The 20,499-nt window shown below is 45.1% G+C and overlaps 1 pseudogene across 2 annotated transcripts in view; it reads right to left on the reverse strand.

Moving 5' to 3' along the window:
• Positions 1-20,499, reverse strand: part of AACSP1 (acetoacetyl-CoA synthetase pseudogene 1) — a 53,575-nt pseudogene that overhangs the window by 31,261 nt on the left and 1,815 nt on the right. For both annotated transcript variants that reach the window (NR_024035.2, NR_135095.1), the window contains exons 2-4: positions 18,777-18,887; positions 15,053-15,165; positions 1,410-1,490 (exon numbers count right to left, since the gene is read on the reverse strand). The product of NR_024035.2 is annotated as an acetoacetyl-CoA synthetase pseudogene 1, transcript variant 2 (transcript). The remainder of the gene's footprint in view (positions 1-1,409; positions 1,491-15,052; positions 15,166-18,776; positions 18,888-20,499) is intronic.

Genomic DNA, 20,499 nt, shown 5'->3' on the forward strand with positions numbered 1-20,499 from the left:
GCAGGATGTGAAACTGCCAGTGAGGCTGCTGTTAGAATCCAGGTGGGGTCAAGCTGCTCCAAGGAAAAATCTAACTGCCTGATTCTTAGTGAGCAGGATCCTTCCAGTAAAAATGAAATGCCTCTGAGAAAACTGCTCCAAATTTTTGAGTTCTTTCCATTGTATCTTTCCTCTCAATACAAGACCCTGACATTTTAAATTGCGGTGTCCCAGGGAGGCAGCCGAACCCTGCATCCTCGTAGCTGCTGGGAGCTTTCTGCAGCTCCATAAGGACGCTGCACTGATGCTGCTGCCCGGGCTTCCTGCTCTGAAACATCTGAGAAAGGACCCGGCACACGAGGGCTCATTGGTGGGGGTGCGGCTGGCACCAGTATTCTACGTTAGGGATTGGGGATGGGGTGGGTTGTAGAGCAAATCCCTGCAGCTGAAAGAAACCTGAATCATTTGTCCCAAGAACCATGTTAATTCACAGCTGGTCACAGAGAGCCGGGAGTGGCCTCTCCACAGTCACACGTCAAAAACACACCTAAGGTCCCCCCCTCCTGAGTCTGCGTGTGATCCCAGGGGTCTGTCCCCTTCACCGGTGTCTGTGGGAGGTCCCAGAGGTCTGTCCCCTTCACCGGTGTCTGAGTGAGGTCCCAGGGGTCTGTCCCCCTCCTGCATCTGTGTGAGGTCCCAGGGGTCTGTCCCCCTCCTGCATCTGTGTGAGGTCCCGGGGAGTCTCTCACAAGGGGCATAGAAGGGCCCTGGGCATTGACCTCACAGGTCAGGCACGTGCCTGTGGCATTCCACTTGGCATAAAAACTCAGCACAGAAGCACCGCCCAGGACCTGCACCTAGATCATTCTGGAAGCTCCTGATGTTTTGAGTTCCCCTCTGGGGTAAAACACACTTCCTTTAACTTGTCCTAACCTTTTGTCTTTCAGTGCTCAACAAGGGCAGGAAGCCCTCTAACACCTGAAGTTGGGGTTGTGGTTTCAAGGTGTGGACTCCATGCTGCTGAGGCAGGGAGGGCGGAGGAGCGGGGCCATCTTGACACTGTGCCCTGGGGAAGCCCTCACTGAGGTGCAGCACAGGAAGCACCCCGGGGAAGCCCTTACCATGGTGTAGCACGGGCCGGCGCCCAGGGGAAGCCCTTACTGTGTGTAGCCTGGGCAAGCACCCTGGGGAAGCTCTTACAGTGTGTAACACGGGTCAGCATCCTGGGGAAGCCCTCACTGTGTGTAGCACAGGCCAGCACCCCAGGAAAGTCCTTACCATGTGTAGCCCGGGCAAGTACCCCAGGGAAACCCTTACCGGGTGTCATGGGCTGGCGCCCGGGGAAGCCCTCACTGTATATACCACAGGGCAGCAACCCGGGGAAGCCTTCACTGGATGTAGCACAGGCTGGTGCCTGTGGAAGCCTTTACCGTGATGTAGCACAGAAGGATGTCACCGCTGGTCATGTTGCTGTGCAGCAGGTGCTCCGTCCGATGCTGGATGAGGGTGCCCTGCGGGGGAGACGGGGACAGCGGGTGCTATCTATTAGGCGTACAGTACCAGGGTACCTGGTCCACATGCCACTCAGACGCTACCAGAAGCAGCCCCAGCAGATCCCCAATTTCTTTCCTGGCAGAAGCAGACTTTGGAGGCTCCCCCTTCTCCCTGGTGATGAGCCATGCCCCCACGTCCCTCTGCCACCCAAAAGCTGAGCGTGGCTTGTAGCCTGGAGAGAAAAACCCTGACACTCCTGCCTGCCTTTGAGTTCTCAGTACCCTGGCCATCGAGGGCACCATGGAGGCCCACCAGCTTCGGGCAAAAGAGAAGTGACCCTTATTGAGAAGAGAGTCAAAGAACAAAAGACCAGGGCCTGACTGTTCCAGGACGGGTGCTAGCCCAGCCTCATAGGGGACAGAGATCAGGGGGTCGAGCCAACTGAGAGAAACGGGGAAATGAGCTATGGGGAGAGCAGAAGTGTAGGGAAAAGAAAGAGAGATCAGACTGTTACTGTGTCTATGTAGAAAGAAGTAGACATAAGAGACTCCATTTTGTTCTGTACTAAGAAAAATTCTTATGCCTTGAGATGCTGTTAATCTGTAACCCTACCCCCAACCCCGTGCTAGCAGAAACATGTGCTGTGTCCACTCAAGGTTTAATGGATTTAGGGCTATGCAGGATGCGCTTTGTTAAACAAACGCTTGAAGGCAGCATGCTTGTTAAAAGCCATCACCACTCCCTAATCTCAAGTACCCAGGGACACAAAACACTGTGGAAGGCCGCAGGGACCTCTGCCTAGGAAAGCCAGGTATTGTCCAAGTTTTCTCCCCATGTGACAGTCTGAAATACGGCCTCGTGGGAAGGGAAAGACCTGATCGTCCCCCAGCCCGACACCCGTAAAGGGTCTGTGCTGAGGAGGATTGGTGAAAGAGGAAGGCCTCTATGCAGTTGAGATAAGAGGAAGGCATCTGTCTCCTGCTCATCCCTGGGTAATGGAATGTCTCCATGTAAAACCCGATTGTATGTTCCATATGCTGAGATAGGAGAAAACCGCCTTAAGGCTGGAGGTGAGACACGCTGCCGGCAATACTGCTCTTTAATGCACCAGATATTTTTATGTATGTGCACACCAAAGCACAGCACATTTTCTAACCTTGTTTATGACACAGAGACATTTGTTCATGTTTTCCTGCTGACCCTGTCCCCACTATTACCTTATTGTCCTGCCACATCCCCCTCTCCGAGATGGTAGAAATAATGATCAATAAATACTGAGGGAACTCAGAGACTGGTGCGGGCGCAGGTCCTCCGTATGCTGAGCGCCGGTCCCCTGGGCCCACTTTTCTTTCTCTATACTTTGTATCTGCGTCTTTCTTTTCTCAAGTCTCTCCTTCCACCTGACGAGAAACACCCACGGGTGTGGAGGGGCAGGCCACCCTTTCACTGAAGAGCTGGCCCAGAGGAGAGCCTGGAGCAGCATGAGGGCAAGAGCCACGGCGTGGACCAAGCGTCCTGACTCCCTGAGACTGGCCCAGAAGGAGTCCCAGTGCGAGGTAAGAATTCAACCCGAGTCAGAAAGAAGCTCTTTTATCAAGCCTAGGGGTAGAGGAGGATCAGAGAAAGGAAGATGTGATAGCGGTTCCTAGAAAAGCACCACTTTCGGCCGGGTGCAGTGGCTCATGACTGTAACCCCAGCACTTTAGGAGGCTGAGGCGGGTGGATCACGAGGTCAGAAGTTCGAGACCAGCCTGGCCAACCCACTGAAACCCCGTCTCTACTAAAAATACAAAAAAAAAAAAATTAGCCAGGGGTGCTGGCGGGCCCCTATAATCCCAGCTACTCGGGAGGCTGAGGCAGGAGATCGCTTGAACCTGGGAGGCAGAGGTTGCAGTGAGCCAAGATCGCACTACTGCACTCCAGCCTGGGTGACAGAACAAGACTCCGTCTCAAAAAAAAGAAAAGCAAAGCACCATATTGACCCAGGTATTTTATTTCTGAAGGTGGCCCAGTGAAATCATGAAAACGAAAGACACTGACATCATGTCCCCCCGACAGATCCAAGGAGAAGGACGCGTCATTTCCAAGGTGCTCCTACCCAAGGCTGCATCATCTGGACCTAACCACGACGAGGTATCAGAGAGACCCAAAGAGAGCCATTCTGCCAAACCAGGAGCCTGAGCTCTTCAAAAATGTCAGTGTCATGAAAGACAAAGAAAGCCCAAGGAACTGCTACAGATCCAAAGACATTAAGGAGACCTGACAACCGAGGAGGCCTGAGCCGCTAGGACACTGCTGGGAGGGAAACTGGTGACCTGTGAGTATGGACTGCAAATCAGGTGACGGCATTGCACCAACGTCAACCTTTCTGAATTTATTATTATTGTTATTTTTTAAGACGGAGTCTCGCTCCGTCGCCCAGGCTGGAGTGCAGTGGTGCAATCTCTGCTCACCGCAAGCTCCGCCTCCTGGGTTCACACCATTCTCTTGCCTCAGCCTCCCGAGTAGCTGGGACTACAGGTGCCCGCCACCACACCCGGCTAATTTTTTGTATTTTTAGTAGAGACGGGATTTCACCACGTTAGCCAGGATGGTCTCGATCTCCTGACCTCGTGATTCGCCCGCCTCGGCCTCCCAAAGTGCTGGGATGACAGGCGTGAGCCACCGCGCCCGGCCTCTAGCTCTTTATTTATTTCATTTCTCCCTTTCTCTTTTGTTCATGGTTTCCCTCTTGCCCAGACTGATCGCAAACTCTGGGCTCAAACAATCCTCCTGCCTCGGCCTCCCCAGTAGCTGGGATTACAAACTCAGTCCACCTTCCTTCCTCAATAATAGAATTAAAATGCAAAGTTCTCTCTGATTAGAAAAAAACCAGTCACAGGTGCATCATTGACTGGAGTGTGAGAAGCACATGACCTTGCAAAACGTCGGCTGGATCATTTTCGGAGGCATCAGAAGAATCAGATATTTTTATAAGTGAAAACACTGCAATTTGCCACAAGTGGAACTGTGCATAAATAGAGAACAGAACAAAACCAGCTCATCTCCTCTGTCCCTCTGTCTCGAATTCTTGGGGAAGGAGAATTGTAATTAACATAGAGATGACACTTAATTAGAACATGATCTCCTGTTACCGCCCAAAGAAACCCTCAGTGGGCCAGGCACAGTGGCTCACGCTTGTAATCCCAGAACACTGGGAGGCCGAGGCAGGCAAATCACGAGGTCAGGAGATCGAGACCATCCTGGTCAACATGGTGAAACCCCGTCTCTACTAAAATAGAAAAAATTAGCAGGCGTGGTGGCGCGTGCCTCTAGTCCCAGCTACGGGGGAGGCTAAGGCAGGGGAATTGCTTGAACCCAGGAGGCAAAGGTTGCAGTGAGCCAAGATCACGTCACTGCACTCCAGCCTGGAGACAGAGCAAGAGTCCATCTCAGGTAAAAAAAAAAAAAAAAAAAAAATCCCTCACTGACCCCTCCAGGGATGTGGGGAGGAGCTGACCGGGCAGCTTGTGTGGTGTTCTGTGCACTTTAGCAGGAAAGGTGAGGCAAGATGGGTGATTCAGACCCACCAGCTCGAGCTGTCTAGCGGCCCCACGCTCCACACTCATCAGCAAGTTGCACCCACACCTTCCTTCACGCCCATCTGGGCAGCAGCTGAGGTGAGATTTCCACTGCCCACCCCCTTTTCCAGCACTTGCTCTTGCTTCCCCCCACCCTCACAGGAGTTTGCCTACAAAATTTGTAAGGCATACAGTTCAATTCCTGTGGGGGTGGGGGAGGTGGACCTACTATCTGGCAAAGCAGGCTTCAAACCCTGGTTTAAGGGGAAAATCTGGCCAAATCTCTTTCCTCCCACTCCACTGAAGACCCCACTCCTGAGCCTCTCCATTTCATCAACCTGATTCATCGTAACCACAGCTCTTATCACTCACTGAAATCACATTTGATTTCAATCACTGTCAGATGTACCCATTTGCTCTGGTCCCTTCATAAGAACGCAAGCACCTGAAGGTAGGGACTTCATCTCGTTTACTGCAGCAGTATTACCAAGGAATGGAATCATGCGTGACACAGAAGTTTTGAAAACATGTGAGTGAAATAATGGATACTTATGTTCTTTTGTTCTTGTTTGCCTCACTGAAAGTCGCTTCCATTATTTGAAGTCTTCAATAAAGTTTGATTTCATATCATGTCTTCTTCTGATCTGTATTTGCCCATATTCAGGCAAAATGGGATGAAGAGAGTAGAGGCAGCATTGCAAAATGGCCTCAGGGAGTGGGTGGGGACTAGCCATTTCATGGGGCCGGGGTGGCTGCTATTGGGGTTTTAAAGAAAAAGCTGATCTTCCTTGCACTGGAGGAATTACTAGTGTAGAAGGCAGATGGACATCTAAACAGACAATCACGAAGTCCATGGAAAGCATCAGAATACTAGAAGCATAAGGGGAAATGCGAGCCTCCCGTGGTGGGCCAGGAGATGGGGAATGCTTCAAGAGGAGGTGACATCTGCACTGAGTCTTTTTTCTTCTTCTTCTTATTATTATTATACTTCATGTGCACAACGTGCAGGTTTGTTACATATGTATACATGTGCCATGTTGTACCCATCAACTTGTCATTTAGCATTAGGTATATCTCCTAATGCTATCCCTCCCCGCTCCCCCCACCCCACAACAGTCCCCAGTGTGTGATGTTCCCCTTCCTGTGTCCATGTGTTCTCACTGTCCAATTCCCACCTATGAGTGAGAACATGCAGTGTTTTTTTGTCCTTGCGATAGTTTGCTGAGAATGATGGTTTCCAGCTTCATCCATGTCCCTACAAAAGACATGAACTCGTCATTTTTTATGGCTGCATAATATTCCATGGTGTATATGTGCCACATTTTCTTAATACAGTCTATCATTGTTGGACATTTGGGTTGGTTCCAAGTCTTTGCTATTGTGAATAGTGCCGTAACAAACATACGTGTGCATGTGTCTTTATAGCAGCATGATTTATAATCCTTTGGGTATATTCCCAGTAATGGGATGGCTGGGTCAAATGGTATTTCTAGTTCTAGATCCCTGAGGAATCGCCACACCGACTTCCACAATGGTTGAACTAGTTTACAGTCCCACCAACAGTGTAAAAGTGTTCCTATTTCTCCACATCCTCTCCAGCACCTGTTGTTTCCTGACTTTTTAATGATCACCATTCTAACTGGTGTGAGATGGTATCTCATTGTGGTTTTGATTTGCATTTCTCTGATGGCCAGTGATGATGAGCATTTTTTCATGTGTTTTTTGGCTGCATAAATGTCTTCTTTTGAGAAGTGTCTGTTCATATCCTTTGCCCACTTTTTGATGGGGTTGTTTGTTTTTTTCTTGTAAATCTGTTGGAGTTCATTGTAGATTCTGGATATTAGCCCTTTGTCGGACGAGTAGGTTGCAAAAATTTTCTCCCATTCTGTAGGTTGCCTGTTCACTCTGATGGTGGTTTCTTCTGCTGTGCAGAAGCTCTTTAATTAGATCCCATTTGTCAATTTTGGCTTTTGTTGCCACTGCCTTTGGTGTTTTAGACATGAAGTCCTTGCCCAATGCCTATGTCCCGAATGGTATTGCCTAGGTTTTCTTCTAGGGTGTTTATGGTTTTAGGTCTAACATTTAAGTCTTTAATCCATCTTGAATTAATTTTTGTATAAGGTGTAAGGAAGGGATCCAGTTTCAGCTTTCTACATATGGCTAGCCAGTTTTCCCAGCACCATTTATTAAATAGAGGATCCTTTCCCCATTGCTTGTTTTTGTCAGGTTTGTCAAAGATCAGATAGTTGTAGATATGCGGCATTATTTCTGAGGGCTCTGTTCTGTTCCATTGATCTATATCTCTGTTTTGGTACCAGTACCATGCTGTTTTGGTTACTGTAGCCTTGTAGTATAGTTTGAAGTCAGGTAGCGTGATGCCTCCAGCTTTGTTCTTTTGGCTTAGGATTGACTTGGCAATGTGGGTTCTTTTTTGGTTCCATATGAACTTTAAAGTAGTTTTTTCCAATTCAGTGAAGAAAGTCATTGGTAGCTTGATGGGGATGGCATTGAATCTATAAATTACCTTGGGCAGTATGGCCATTTTCACGATATTGATTCTTCCTACCCATGAGCATGCACTGAGTCTTGAAATAGGAGCCAGCCAGGCTAAAGGAGAGAGGGGAAGGTGTTCGAGAAGAACGTGAGGTCAGGGATGCAAACGAAACCATGAACTGAGCAATGGTTGCCAACTGACCTCCTGGAATTGACCCTTAACAATCCAGCAGTAAGTAGGTTAAAATGCTCTCTGCCTCCCCACCATTAGACTGAGCTCCTTGAAAGCAGTAACTGTCAGCCAGGCACGGTGGCTGACGCCTGTAATCCCCGTACTTTGGGAGGCTGAGGCAGGTGGATCACTTGAGATCAGGAGTTTGAGACCACCCTGACCAACATGATGAAACCCCGTCTGCACAAAAATACAAAAATTAGCCAGGCGTGGTGGCTGGCATCTGTAATTCCAGCTACTTGGGAGGCTGAAACAGGAGAATTGCTAGAACCCAGGAGGCAGAAGTTACAGTGAACTGAGTTGGCACCATTGTACTCCAGCCTGGACAACAAGAACGAAACTCTGTCTCAAAAAAAAAAAAAAAAAGGAAGTAGGAACTGTCTTATTTACCACTATATCTAATGTCCTAAGAAAATGCCTGGCACAGAGTAAGGGTCAGAAAAGATTCGTTGAAAAGCTGTCTTGCAGCCTTCCAATTTTATGTTAAGAATAGCACAACATGTTTCTCGGCCGGGCGCGGTGGCTCATGCCTGTCATCTCAGCACTTTGGGAGGCCGAGGCTGGTGGATCACCTGAGGTCAGGACTTCGGGACCAGCCTGGCCAACATGTTGAAACTCTGTCTCTGCTATAAGTACAAAAAAATTAGCCAGGCGCGTTGGCACACACCTGTAATCTCAGCTACTTGGGAGGCTGAGACATGAGAAACACTGAGCCTGGGAGGTGGAGGTTGCAGTGAACAGAGATTGCGCCACTGCACTCCAGCCTGGGCAGTGAAAAAAAAAAAAGTTTTCTCTAGTACAAAAAAGAAAATATTTGTTGAATAAATAAACCAAAGCACCACTGCCTAGATTATCTTACCCTATCCCTCAGACCAAATGCCTCTGTACCTGTGCTCACATAAGTCACATCAGAGATTGCTATGTACGTGAGCATTATATATAAATTGCTGGACAGCCCTCAATGGATTAATTGATATGGGGCAAAGCATTTGTCTTTTGTTCAATGTGTTTCACTCTTGGTTATGATACTTATACACAAAGGAAAGCAATACTGTTTGCTTTTACCAGGAAAATTTTACAATGTGAGTGGAAACAGGCTTCTAAAATAATAATGGTGAAAATTATGGTAATATTTATTGAATGCCTACTGTGTGCCAGACAGTTTGTTTATAACCCACCCAACTAACTTGTAGGATGGATATTATCTACTATAAAAGAGGAAACTAAAGCTCATAGGAATTGAGAAACATGACCAGGCTTATATCCTGTAGCAGGTGGTTCAAATGATCCTCCTGGTTCAGCCTTCCAAAGTGCTGGGATTACACGCATGAGCCACCCCACTTGACCCGTCCCCCCCTTTTTTTTTAAGACAGCGTGTCACTCTGTTGCCCAGGCTGGAGTGCCATAGTATGATCTCAGCTCACTGCAGCCTCAATTTCCTGGGCTCAAGGGATCCTCCCAACACAGCCTCCAGAGCAGCTGAGACTACAGGTGTGCACCACCATGCCTGGCTATTTTTCCTTAACATTTTTTCTCAGAGACAGGGTCTTGCTATGTTGCCCAAGCTGGTCTCAAACTCCTAGACAAAAGCGATCCTCCCACCTTGGCCTCCAAAAGCGCTAAGATTATAGGCGTGAGCGACCACGCCTGGCCCATTTTTCTTAAAATTAGTTTGCCACTGTATTCTTCCTCTTTTGGAAGTATTCTTCTGATGAATTTGTTCATTCAGAAAACATCTTCCAAGTTCCCACTCTGTGGCTGGCACAGTCCCAGGTGGTAGAGATACCTGCCTTGGTCTCAGGAGCTTAGGGCCTCATGAGGATGTTGGATATTTGAAGATTAAACGAGGACTTCATGGCCGGGCACAGTGGCTCATGCCTGTAATCCCAGCACTTTGGGAGGCCGAGGCAGTCAGATCACGAAGTCAGGAGGTTGAGACCATCCTGGCTAACATAGTGAAACCCCGTCTCTACTAAAAATACAAAAAATTAGCCGGGCGTGGTGGCGGGCGCCTGTAGTCCCAGCTACTCGGGAGGCTGAGGCAGGAGAATGGCGTGAACCCGGGAGGCGGAGCTTGCAGTGAGCTGAGATCACACCACTGCACTCCAGCCCGGGCAACAGAGCGAGACTCCATCTCAAGAAAAAACAAACAAAAACCAACTGGTCAGAGACGAAAACACAAAAGAAATTAGAAAATACTTTGCTATGAGCAATAGAGAAAACACAACATATCAAAATTTATAGGATAGAGTCAAAGCAGTGCTTAGGGGAAAACTACAGCTGTAAACGCCAACCTTAGGAAGAAAGATAAAGAGAAAGTCAATAACCTAACTTTACACGTGAAGATTTCGGAAAAAAAGAAGACCAAATGAAACCGAAAGCAAGGAGAAGGAAGAAAATAATAAGGATTAGAACAAAAGTAAGTGATCTAAAGAAGAGAAATGGAGAAAATTAATAAAACCAAAACTTTGTTCTTTCACAAGACCAACAAAATAAGTCTTGAGCTTCAAAAGACCAACAAAATAATCAAGTCTTGAGCTAGATGATCAGAAAAGTGGGGGGAAGGAGAAAGATTTAAATGAATAAAATCAGGAATAAAAGAGGACATTAATACGCACCTTACAGAAATAATAATTGTAAGGAAATACTATGAACTATATGCCAACAAATTAGATCACTTACATATGAAATGAACAAATTCCTATAAAGACACAAACTACCAAAACTGATTCAAAAAAAATAGAAAACTTGACTAGAAACATAACAAAATATTGAATTTGTAATTTTAAAATTTTAAACACAGAAAAAGCCCATGCTCAGAAATAGCAATTCTTCACATACTCTTCCAGAAAAATGAAGAACATTTCCTGACTCATTCTGCAAAGCCAGTATTCTCTGACACCAAAACCCAAGACACTACAACAAAACCACAGACCACTATCTCTTATAAATACATATGCAAAAATCCTCAACATAACACTGGCAAACTGAATGCAGCAATATATAAAAAGGATTATACACCATGACCAAATGGGATTTATCCCAGAAATGCAAGGTTGCTTTAACATCTGAAAAACAATTTATGCAATATACCATATAAACAGAATAAAGAACAAAAGCCACATGGTAATTTCAATAGATGCAGAAAAAGCATTTGACAAAATTCTACGCCCCTTCATGATAAAAATACTCAACAAACTTGAGGCCAGGCATGGTGGCTCACACCTGTAATCCCAGCACTTTGGGAGGTCAAGCCAGATGGATTACCTGGGGTCAGAAGTTGAGACCAGCCAACATGGTGGAAGCCCGTCTTTACTAAAAATACAAAAAATTAGCTGGGCGTAGTGGGGGCCATGTGTAATCCCAGCTACTTGTGAGGCTGAGGCAGGAGAACTGCTAGAACCCTGGAGGCAGAGGTTGCAGTGAGCCGAGATTGTACCACTGCACTCCAGCCTGGGTGACACAGCTAGACTGCCTCAAAAAAAAAAAAAAAAATTCATACAGATGCAAGGACTCAAAATAGCCAAAACAATCTTGAAAGGAAGAATAGTGGTGGAGGACTCACACTTCTGGATTGCAAAACTTTCTAGAAAGCTACAGTAACCAAGGCAATGTGGTGTTGACATGAGAATAGACATGGATCAATGGAGTAGAATTCAGAGTCCCGTAATAAAGCCTCACTTATATGGTCAATTGATTTTCAACAGTGGTCAGCTGAGACAATCAAATGGGAAAAGAATAGTCTTTTCCATAGATGATGCTTGGAAAACTAGATATTCGCATACAAGAGGATAAGGTTGGACCTCCACCTCATCATATGCAAAAGTTGACTTAAAATGGATAATAGACCAAATTATGAGCTAAAACTCTAGAAGGCTGGGCACAGTGGCTCACACCTGTAATCCCAGAACTTTGGGAGGCCGAGGCAGGTGGATCACCTGAGGTCAGGAGTTCGAGGCCAGCCTAGCCAACATGGTAAAATCCTGTCTCTACTAAAAATACAAAAATTAGCTGGGCATGGTGGCATGTGCCTATAATCCCACCTACCCAGGAGGCTGAGGCAGGAGAATCACTGGAAGCCGTGATGCAGAGGCTGCAGTGAGCTGAGATCGGGCCACTGCACTCCAGCCTGGGTGACAGAGCAAGACTCCGTCTCAAATAAATAAATAAATAAATAAATAAATAAATAAATAAAACTCTAAGAAGAAAACGGGTGCAAATCTTTGTGACTTTAGATTAGGCAATATTTTCTTAGATGTGACAAGAAAAGCATAAGCTACGAAGAAAAATATATAAATTGTACTACAACAAAACTCAAAACTTTCCCGCTTCAGAGGACACCATCAAGAAAGTGAAATGGCAAACCATAGAAGGAGAGAATATTTTTGCAAGTCAAATATTTGAAAAGAGACTTGTATGTAGAATATATACAGAACTCCTGGCCAGCATGGTAGCTCACTCCTGTAATCCCAGCACTTTGGGAGGCCAAGGTGGTAGGACAGCTTGAGGCCAGGAGTTCAAGACCAGCCTGGGTAACAGAGTGAGACCTCATGTCTACAAAAAAATAAGGCTGGGTGTTGTGGCAGGGACCTGTAGTCCCAGCTCCTCAGTATGCTGAGATAGGATCATCACTTGAGCCCACCAGTTTGAGGCTTCGGTTAGCTATGATTGCACCACTGTACTCCAGCCTGGATGACAGAATGAGATCCTGTCTCAAAAAAATATATATGTATATTATAAGGTGGGAAACAGACCCAAAGTCTGAGCTCAGGGCCTGCCTTAAACTCTGGCTTCTGTATGTCCAGGTCTGCGGTTCAGAGCCTTGGAGGAAACCACTGTGATACTCTCTGGCTTCATTGTCTCCCTACTAGTTGGGGTCACAGTATTATAGGAAAGAGACCCATGGATTTGTAAGAGAGATATCTGTTTAAAGCAGATTCACCTTCCATGCAATCCATCCTTCTTTCCCGTGGCTTCATGGTGAATTGCAATTTTAAGTAGAGGTATCTGAAGAGAGTTACATACTTATAAAGATTCACTAAGCTTCAACCACATGCCAGGCATTGGAGATACAACGGTGAGGCAACACAGACACAATTTCTGTCGTCTTACAGTCAGGGGTGAGCTATATAACCAACACATCTATAAAACTGTCACCGTGACAAGTGTCAGGAAGCACAGCCAGCCAGATGCAATTGAGAAATGGAAATTTGATCTAGTGAAAGAGATCTGGGATAAGCTTCCTTGAGGAAGCGACACGTGAGGAGGGATGTGAAGGAGAATTGGAATTATGTGGGAAAGGCAGGGAGAAGAGAGTTCCAGTCTGAGGCCACAGCTTGTGCAGCCTCCCATGGCTCAAGGCAGCATGGCAAGGGTGAGCAGAATGCCACTGAGGCTGCAGCATGGGAGCAAGCAGAAGGGCAAAGCAGGTGTTCAGAGAAACACACCTGCTGAAATGAGTACAGAGATACCCTTAGATGAGAGGACTGAATTCCAGTGTTCTATTGCATAGCAGGGTTCATAGGTTCACAATATCCTAGAATAATCTTTAAAATAGCAGGTAGAGAAGACTGAATTTTTTCTCCACAAATAACTAATAACTATACTAGGTAATAGGAATGTTAAATCCCACGATTTGTTCATTACAATGTGTGTACCTATGTCAAAATGTCCCTTGCATCCTCTCGTCGTATACATATACTATACAGCAATTACAACAAAGTTTGAATAAATACTACCAAAATTCCCATGGAATCATAAAATGCCCTGGGTTTCCAAAGCCATCTTTACAAATCCAAACTATGTTGGATGCATCATAGACCTCATTCCTATTTACATCTCAAAGCTACAGTGATGCAACCGATATGTTACAGGCATGCCCACAGAAACACAGGGCAATGGGCAAAATGAGGGAGCCAAATAATAAACCCAAATTCGTCTACAGTAAACATATTTAAGAATAATGCCAGGAAACACAATGGGGAAAGGAGAGTCTGTTCAATATACGGTATTGGAAACTGGATATCCATATGCAAAAGAATGAGACAGGACACCTGTGGTACAAAATACACCATCAACAATTTGAAACGGATGGCAGAATATACGCGAAACTTGAAATCATTAAGCTATTAAAAGAAAACCTGGCCAGGCGCAGTGGCTCACGCCTGTAATCCCAGCACTTTGGGAGGCTGTGGTGGGCGACTCACCTGAGGTCAGGAGTTCGAGACCAGCCTGGCCAACATGGTGAAACCCGCTCTTTACTAAAAATACAAAAATTAGCCAGATGCAGTGGCATGCCGCCTGTAATCTCAGCTAATCGGGAGGCTGAGGCTGGAGAATCACTTGCATCCAGGAGGTGGAGATTGAGGTTAGCTGAGATCGCGCCACTGCATCCATTCTGGCAGTTGAGGTGATGACAAAGCCAGATTCCTTCTAAAAAAAAAAGCAACAACAAAAAATAAAAATAAAAAAAGAAAAGAAAACCTAGCATGTGTGTATACTTAGAACAACGCATATGGATGTTTAGAGTTTGAAAACAGAAAACCACAAAAATACGGGAGAAAAATCATTGACAAAAGATTGCCTTAGTAGTGAGTATGTTTTGTCTTGATTAATCACCAACATCACAGGCAACCAGGGAATTATACACATGTGGGACTATATCAAAATGAAGACCTCGTACTCACAAAGGAAACAATAAAGAAAACAAAAAGCATCCTGAAGATGAGAAGAAAGGTTTGGGGAAACACACAGCTGATAAGGGGTTGTTCTGGAAAAGGTACAAGGTATAGTACTGACACCACTAACTAGCAAACAACAAAACAAACAAAAAAAAAACAGAGAAACTGATAACCAAACCATGGCAAATGGGCCAAGAACCTGAATAAACTTTTCTTCAAAGAACACATAAAATTGAAAACAAGTTCACAAACACTTGGTTAACACCACTAGTTATGAAAAAAATGGGAATCCGAAAAACACTCGGATACCATGTCACTCTAATTGAAATAAATAGTACCAAAAAGTGAACATATATATAAAAGACAAATGCTGGTGTGGGTTTCCAGAGAGGGGAAATCTTAGCCACAACTGGTAGGAATATTCTGGTATATACACTACAGGAATCAGCTGGAGGTTCCTCAAAACATTGAAAAAAAGAACTACCATTTCATTTAGCCATGCTACTGCTGGGTATACATTCAAAGCAAAAGAAATCAGTCCATGGAAGAGGTATCTGCCTTCCCATGCTGACTGTGGCACTATTCACAAGAGCTAAGATGAGAAATCAACTTACCTATCCATCCACAGATGATGGGATACAGAAACCATAGTGTCCATTCACAATGGAACACTCTTCAGCCAGACACAGATACTGAAATCATGTCATCGGGAGCCACATGGTTGAACCTGGAGGAAATGATAGTAAATGAAATGAGCTACGCTGAGAAAAACAAACATTGCATCGCTTCACTCATGAGGCATCTAAAAATCTTTATCTCATAGACCTAGAAAGCACCCTAGTGCTTACCAGGGTTTGAGGGGAAGGTGGGCCCTGGGCAGGGAATCAAAATGGGTACAAAGTTCCACATTTTTTGAGAAGAATAAAACCTGCAGTTCTATTCCTCAGCAGGGTGACTAGGGATAATATTATCAGAGGGTAATTTTCAGGACAGCTAACAAGGAGGATTCTGAATGTCCTCCCCTCAAAGAAATAATTCTATGAGGCAAAAGAAATGCTAAGTATCCCGATTCCATCATGATACAATGCATGCATGGACCAAAATGTCCCACTCTACCCTCTAGTTGTGCATCTTTACTACAGAGCAAGTTTTTTTTTTTTTTTTTTTTTTTTTTTTTTTTTTGAGATGGAGTCTCACTCTGTCGCCCAGGCTGGAGTGCAGTGGAGTGATCTCTGCTCACTGCAAGCTCCGCCTCCGGGGTTCATACCATTCTCCTGCCTCAGTCTCCCGAGTAGCTGGGACTACAGGCGCCCACCACCACACCCGGCTAATTTTTTTTTTGCATTTTTAGTAGACGGGGTTTCACCGTGTTAGCCAGGATGGTCTCGATCTCCTGACTTCGTGATCCACCCACCTCGGCCTCCCAAAGTGCTGGGATTACAGGCGTGAGCCACCGTGCCTGGCCGAAAGTTTGTTTTTAAAGAAACAATGTGAAAATTCTCATGCAACCACAAAATGCCCTGAAATTCCAAAGCCAGGCTGAGAAATCCAAACTATGTCAGACGCGGCACATTCCCCACTTTCCAATTTCATCCCAAAGCTACAGACCCACTTCCACCTAGACAGAGCAGAGAACCCAGAAGTAACCCTGCACAACGACAATCATTTGGCTTTCAACAAAATCCACAAAAATAAGCAATGGATGAAGGACTCGCTATGCAATGAACGGTGCTAGGATGAGTGGCTGGCAGAAGGGTAACACTGGAGCCCTGCCTCTCGCCACATGCAAAACCTAACTCAAGGTGGATGAAAGATTTCAGAAGAAGACCTCAAACTGTGAAAGTCCTACAAGAAAATGGAGGAAATACCTTTCTCAACACAGGCTTTAGTAAACCATTTGTATGGCTTAGTCCCCAAAAGCAATGGCAAGAAAAACCAAAATGAACTAGTCGAGCCTAAGAAACGAAACATCTGCCGCACAGCAAAAGAAATCACCATCACGGTGAATACACAGGCTACAGGATCCATTAATTGTTCCCAAACTATTTCTGACCAAGGTCTTATAGCCAGACTCTACCATGACCTTCAATGAAAAAGCAGAAAAGCAAATAATCCAATTTAAAAAATGGGCAAAAAACGTAAATGCACACTTGTCAAGCCAGGACAGACAAGTGACTGACAGGCATGAAAAAAAATGCTCAACGTCACTAATCATCAGAGAAACGCAACTCACAAGCACAATGAGATACCTTCTGACGCCACTCAGAATGGCCCTTCGTCCACGTCAAAACATAAGATGCTGGTGAGGTAGCAGAGGACAGGGAAGGCTGCTACACTCTCAGTGTGAATGCAAACTAGCTCTCACAATGTGGGAAGTGGCCTGGAGATTACTCAGAGTACTTACAAAAGAACTACCCTCTGACCCAGCAATCCCACCACTGGGTATCTACCCAAAGGAAAACAAATGCTTCTAACAAAAGGACACACACACTCCTGTGTTTTCAGAACTGCTATTCACAAGAACTAAATGCTGAGATGGACCTATGTGCAAATCAACAGTGGATTATTATTATTAAAGTTTGGTACATAGACACCGCAAAATTCTACGTAGATTGAAAAAGAAATCATGCCCTCAGCAGCAACAAGGATGGACCTGGAGGCCACTATGCTAAGCAAGCTAAAACAAGGACAGAAAACCAAATACATCATGTTCTCACTTATAGCTGGAAGCTAAACGTTGAACACACCCAAACATAAAGATGAAAAAAAAAAACAAAACAAAACAGACACTAGGCCAACCAGACGGAAAAAGGAGGAAGACAGGGAGACCTGGCAGTAGAACCGCTCGACTGCTGCTGCCCTCACTGCCTGGGTAACGGGGTTCATTGGGAACCCAAGTTCAGCTCCCTGCTATACACCCACGTGCCCCACCTGCAAACCCCACCCTTTACTCACAATACAAGTAGGTGTCACTTTAGAAACCAAGGCTAGGAGCTGAAAATAAGTTCTTAGAAAAGGAAAAGAGGAAACCTACAGTGATCCAAACAATTCGTTACTGGCATAAACAGAGAAAGACACTGAATGGACAAAACTGGGGAGGCAAATAATCAACCTAGAATTTTACATAGTGAAAACATAGTTTGCAAAAGCTCACTGAAGGCATAACTGTTGAGAAAACTGGGTATTCATGTGCCAAAGATTGAAACAGTTCCCTTATGTTGTATAATACATAAAAATCAATGCGGCCGGGCGCGGTGGCTCACGCCTGTAATCCCAGCACTTTGGGAGGCCGAGGTGGGCAGATCATGAGGTCAGGAGATTGAGACCATGGTGAAACTCCGTGTGTACTAAAAATACAAAAAAAAAAAAAAAATTAGCCAGGCCTGGTGGCGGGCGCCTGTACTCCCAGCTATTCGGGAGGCTGAGGCAGGAGAATGGCGTGAACCCGGGAGGCGGAGCTTGCAGTGAGCCAAGATGGCGCCACTGCACTCCAGCCTGGGTGACAGAGTGAGACTCTGTCTCAAAAAAAAAAAAAATCAATGCAAAACCAATTTAACACCCAAATTCAATCCTGAAACCAAAAAACTCCAAGGGGAAAACACAAGATCAGCGTTTCTTTGTGGGAAAACTTGAATCTGTGTACCCATAGACAATACCACGGCTTCACCATCCCCCTTCTCTCCCTCTCAACGGGACACAGAAATCACTGCTAACAAAAGCAAATATCAGCATTTGAGACTAAGAAACACTTTAGACCTCTCTACATGGGAGAGAAAACAACGAACCCAAAGAGAAGGTATCCTACCTTGGGGGAAAAGATGATTGGGGGAAAATTATGGAAAATCATAAATTTCAAACCTATTCAAGAAACTAAAACTACTAAGTGGGGGGAAAGGATAAAAACAAATACACAAGCGACAAACGTGCAAAGGACGTGCGATAGCCACTTCTGCAAAGAAAACATGAAATTGACTCACAGCTAAAAGAAGAGTGGCACCCCATCACTCTCACGCCAGACATACACTAAGATACTGTCAAACTCCACTGAGAATGAGCATTACTCAAAGGAGCAATAGAAGTTTTGGAAGGCAGGGGCCTATGTAGATTCATGCAAAGGGAAACTCGTATACGCTATTGGTGGCACTGAAAATTAGTGTATATACTGTGAAAAAAAGTTGGAGCTTCCTCAAAAAATTAAAACCACTTCCAGTTCATCTAGTCATTCCCACACTCGGTTTTTCATTTACAGCAAAGGAAACCTGTCCCTTAAGGAGTTACCTGCCTTCCTGTGTTTAATGAAGCACAATTCACGATACCCAAGATAGGGAATCAATCTACCTGACCATCCACAGGTGAAGGGATGAGGAAACTGTGGGATATCCGCACAACACAATACTCCTCGGCCACATGCAAATCATGTCCTTCTCATTTGGAACAACATGGATGAACCTGGAAAATATTATGTTAAGTAAAATAAGCCAGGCATAGAAAGACAAGCACAGCATCATCTCACTTATATGGAATCCAAAATCTTTACCTTCAAGAAGTAGAAGTACAGTGGTGGTTTGCTGAGCAGGGGGAATGAGGGGGATGTGAAAGATTCATTTTGGAAACATAGTTGCAGTTAGATGACAGAAACACATTCTGGTGTTCTATACCACAGCTGGGTGACTGGTTAACAAAATATTGTGTGGTATTTTTCAAAAAAGCTAGAAGGGAACGATTTGTTCTCTCAACAGAGAAATAATACCTGATCTTTGGAAACAGATATGCTAAGTACCTTGGTTTGATCATTACTCAAAATACACATATATTAACATATCTCAGAGGAACAAAATGTCTCAGCATGCCCTCTAATAATGTACTTTACTATACACAGAACATTTAAGAAATCTGAATACATAATGCTAATATTCACATGAAACCACAAACGGCCCTGAATACCTGAGGTGCCCTGAGAAATACAAACTAAGTTGGAGGGCTTACAATCCTTGATATCGAGTTACATCCCAAAGCTGTAGGTATCCAAAATACGTGTTTGTGTGAGGTGCCACTGGGCTCCAGCCTGGGTGGCAGAGTGATACTCTGTCTCAAAAACAAAACTGTTTGAAAATTTGAGTGCATTATGAGTGACAACTGGATGTTATCAAACATGTATAAAGAAAACAAAATTCTAAGCCTAAAAATACATATCTAAACTAATACTGGGCAAAAAAATCTGAATAGACATCTCAGCAAAGATGACATGAAACTGGCCAACAGGTGAGAGAAAAGGTCCTCAGCATCGCTATTCATCAGGAAAAATGTACTTCAAAACCATTCAGATGCCATTTCACTCTTACTGAAATGAATGTTACTAAAAAGATTTAAAACATATTTTTTTGAGACAGGGACTTACTCTGTCCCCAAGGCTGGAGTGCAGCGGCAAGATCTCCGCTCACTTGAAGCCTTGATGTCCCAGGCTCAAGTGATCCTCCCACCTGAGCCTCTGAAGTAGCTGGGACTACCGGCATGCACCACCACGCCTGGCTAGTGTTGTATTTTTTTGTAGACATGGGGTTTTGCCATGTTGCCTAGGCTACTCTCAAATTCCTGGACTTCAGTGATCTGTCTACCTCAGCATCCCAAGGTACTGGGGTAACAGGCGTGATCCACTGTGCCTGGCCATAAAAAAAAAATTTAAAAAGAAGAATGCTGGTATAGATATAGAGAAAAGGGAACTCTTACACACTGTTTGTGGGAAAATAAATTAGTATATAAACTATGCTAAAGAGTTGGAGGTCCCTCAAAAAACTGAAAACACAACTAGTAGGAGGCCAGTGTGGTCATATCGCTTGAGCTCAGGAGTTTGAGACCAGCCTTGGCAACGTGGCAAAATCCCATCTCTTACAAAAAAAAATTAGCCAGGCATGGTGGGATACGCCTGTAGTCCCAGTTACTCAAGAAGCTGAGGTGAGAACATCACTTGATCCTGGGAGGTCGAGGCTGCAGTGTGCCATTTCACTCTTACTAGAATGAATGTTGCTCCAGCCTAGGCAACACAGCAAGACTCTGTCTCAAA

The sequence above is a fragment of the Homo sapiens genome, chromosome 5 (assembly GCF_000001405.40).
Source record: "Homo sapiens chromosome 5, GRCh38.p14 Primary Assembly".
Taxonomy (NCBI): Eukaryota; Metazoa; Chordata; class Mammalia; order Primates; family Hominidae; genus Homo; species Homo sapiens.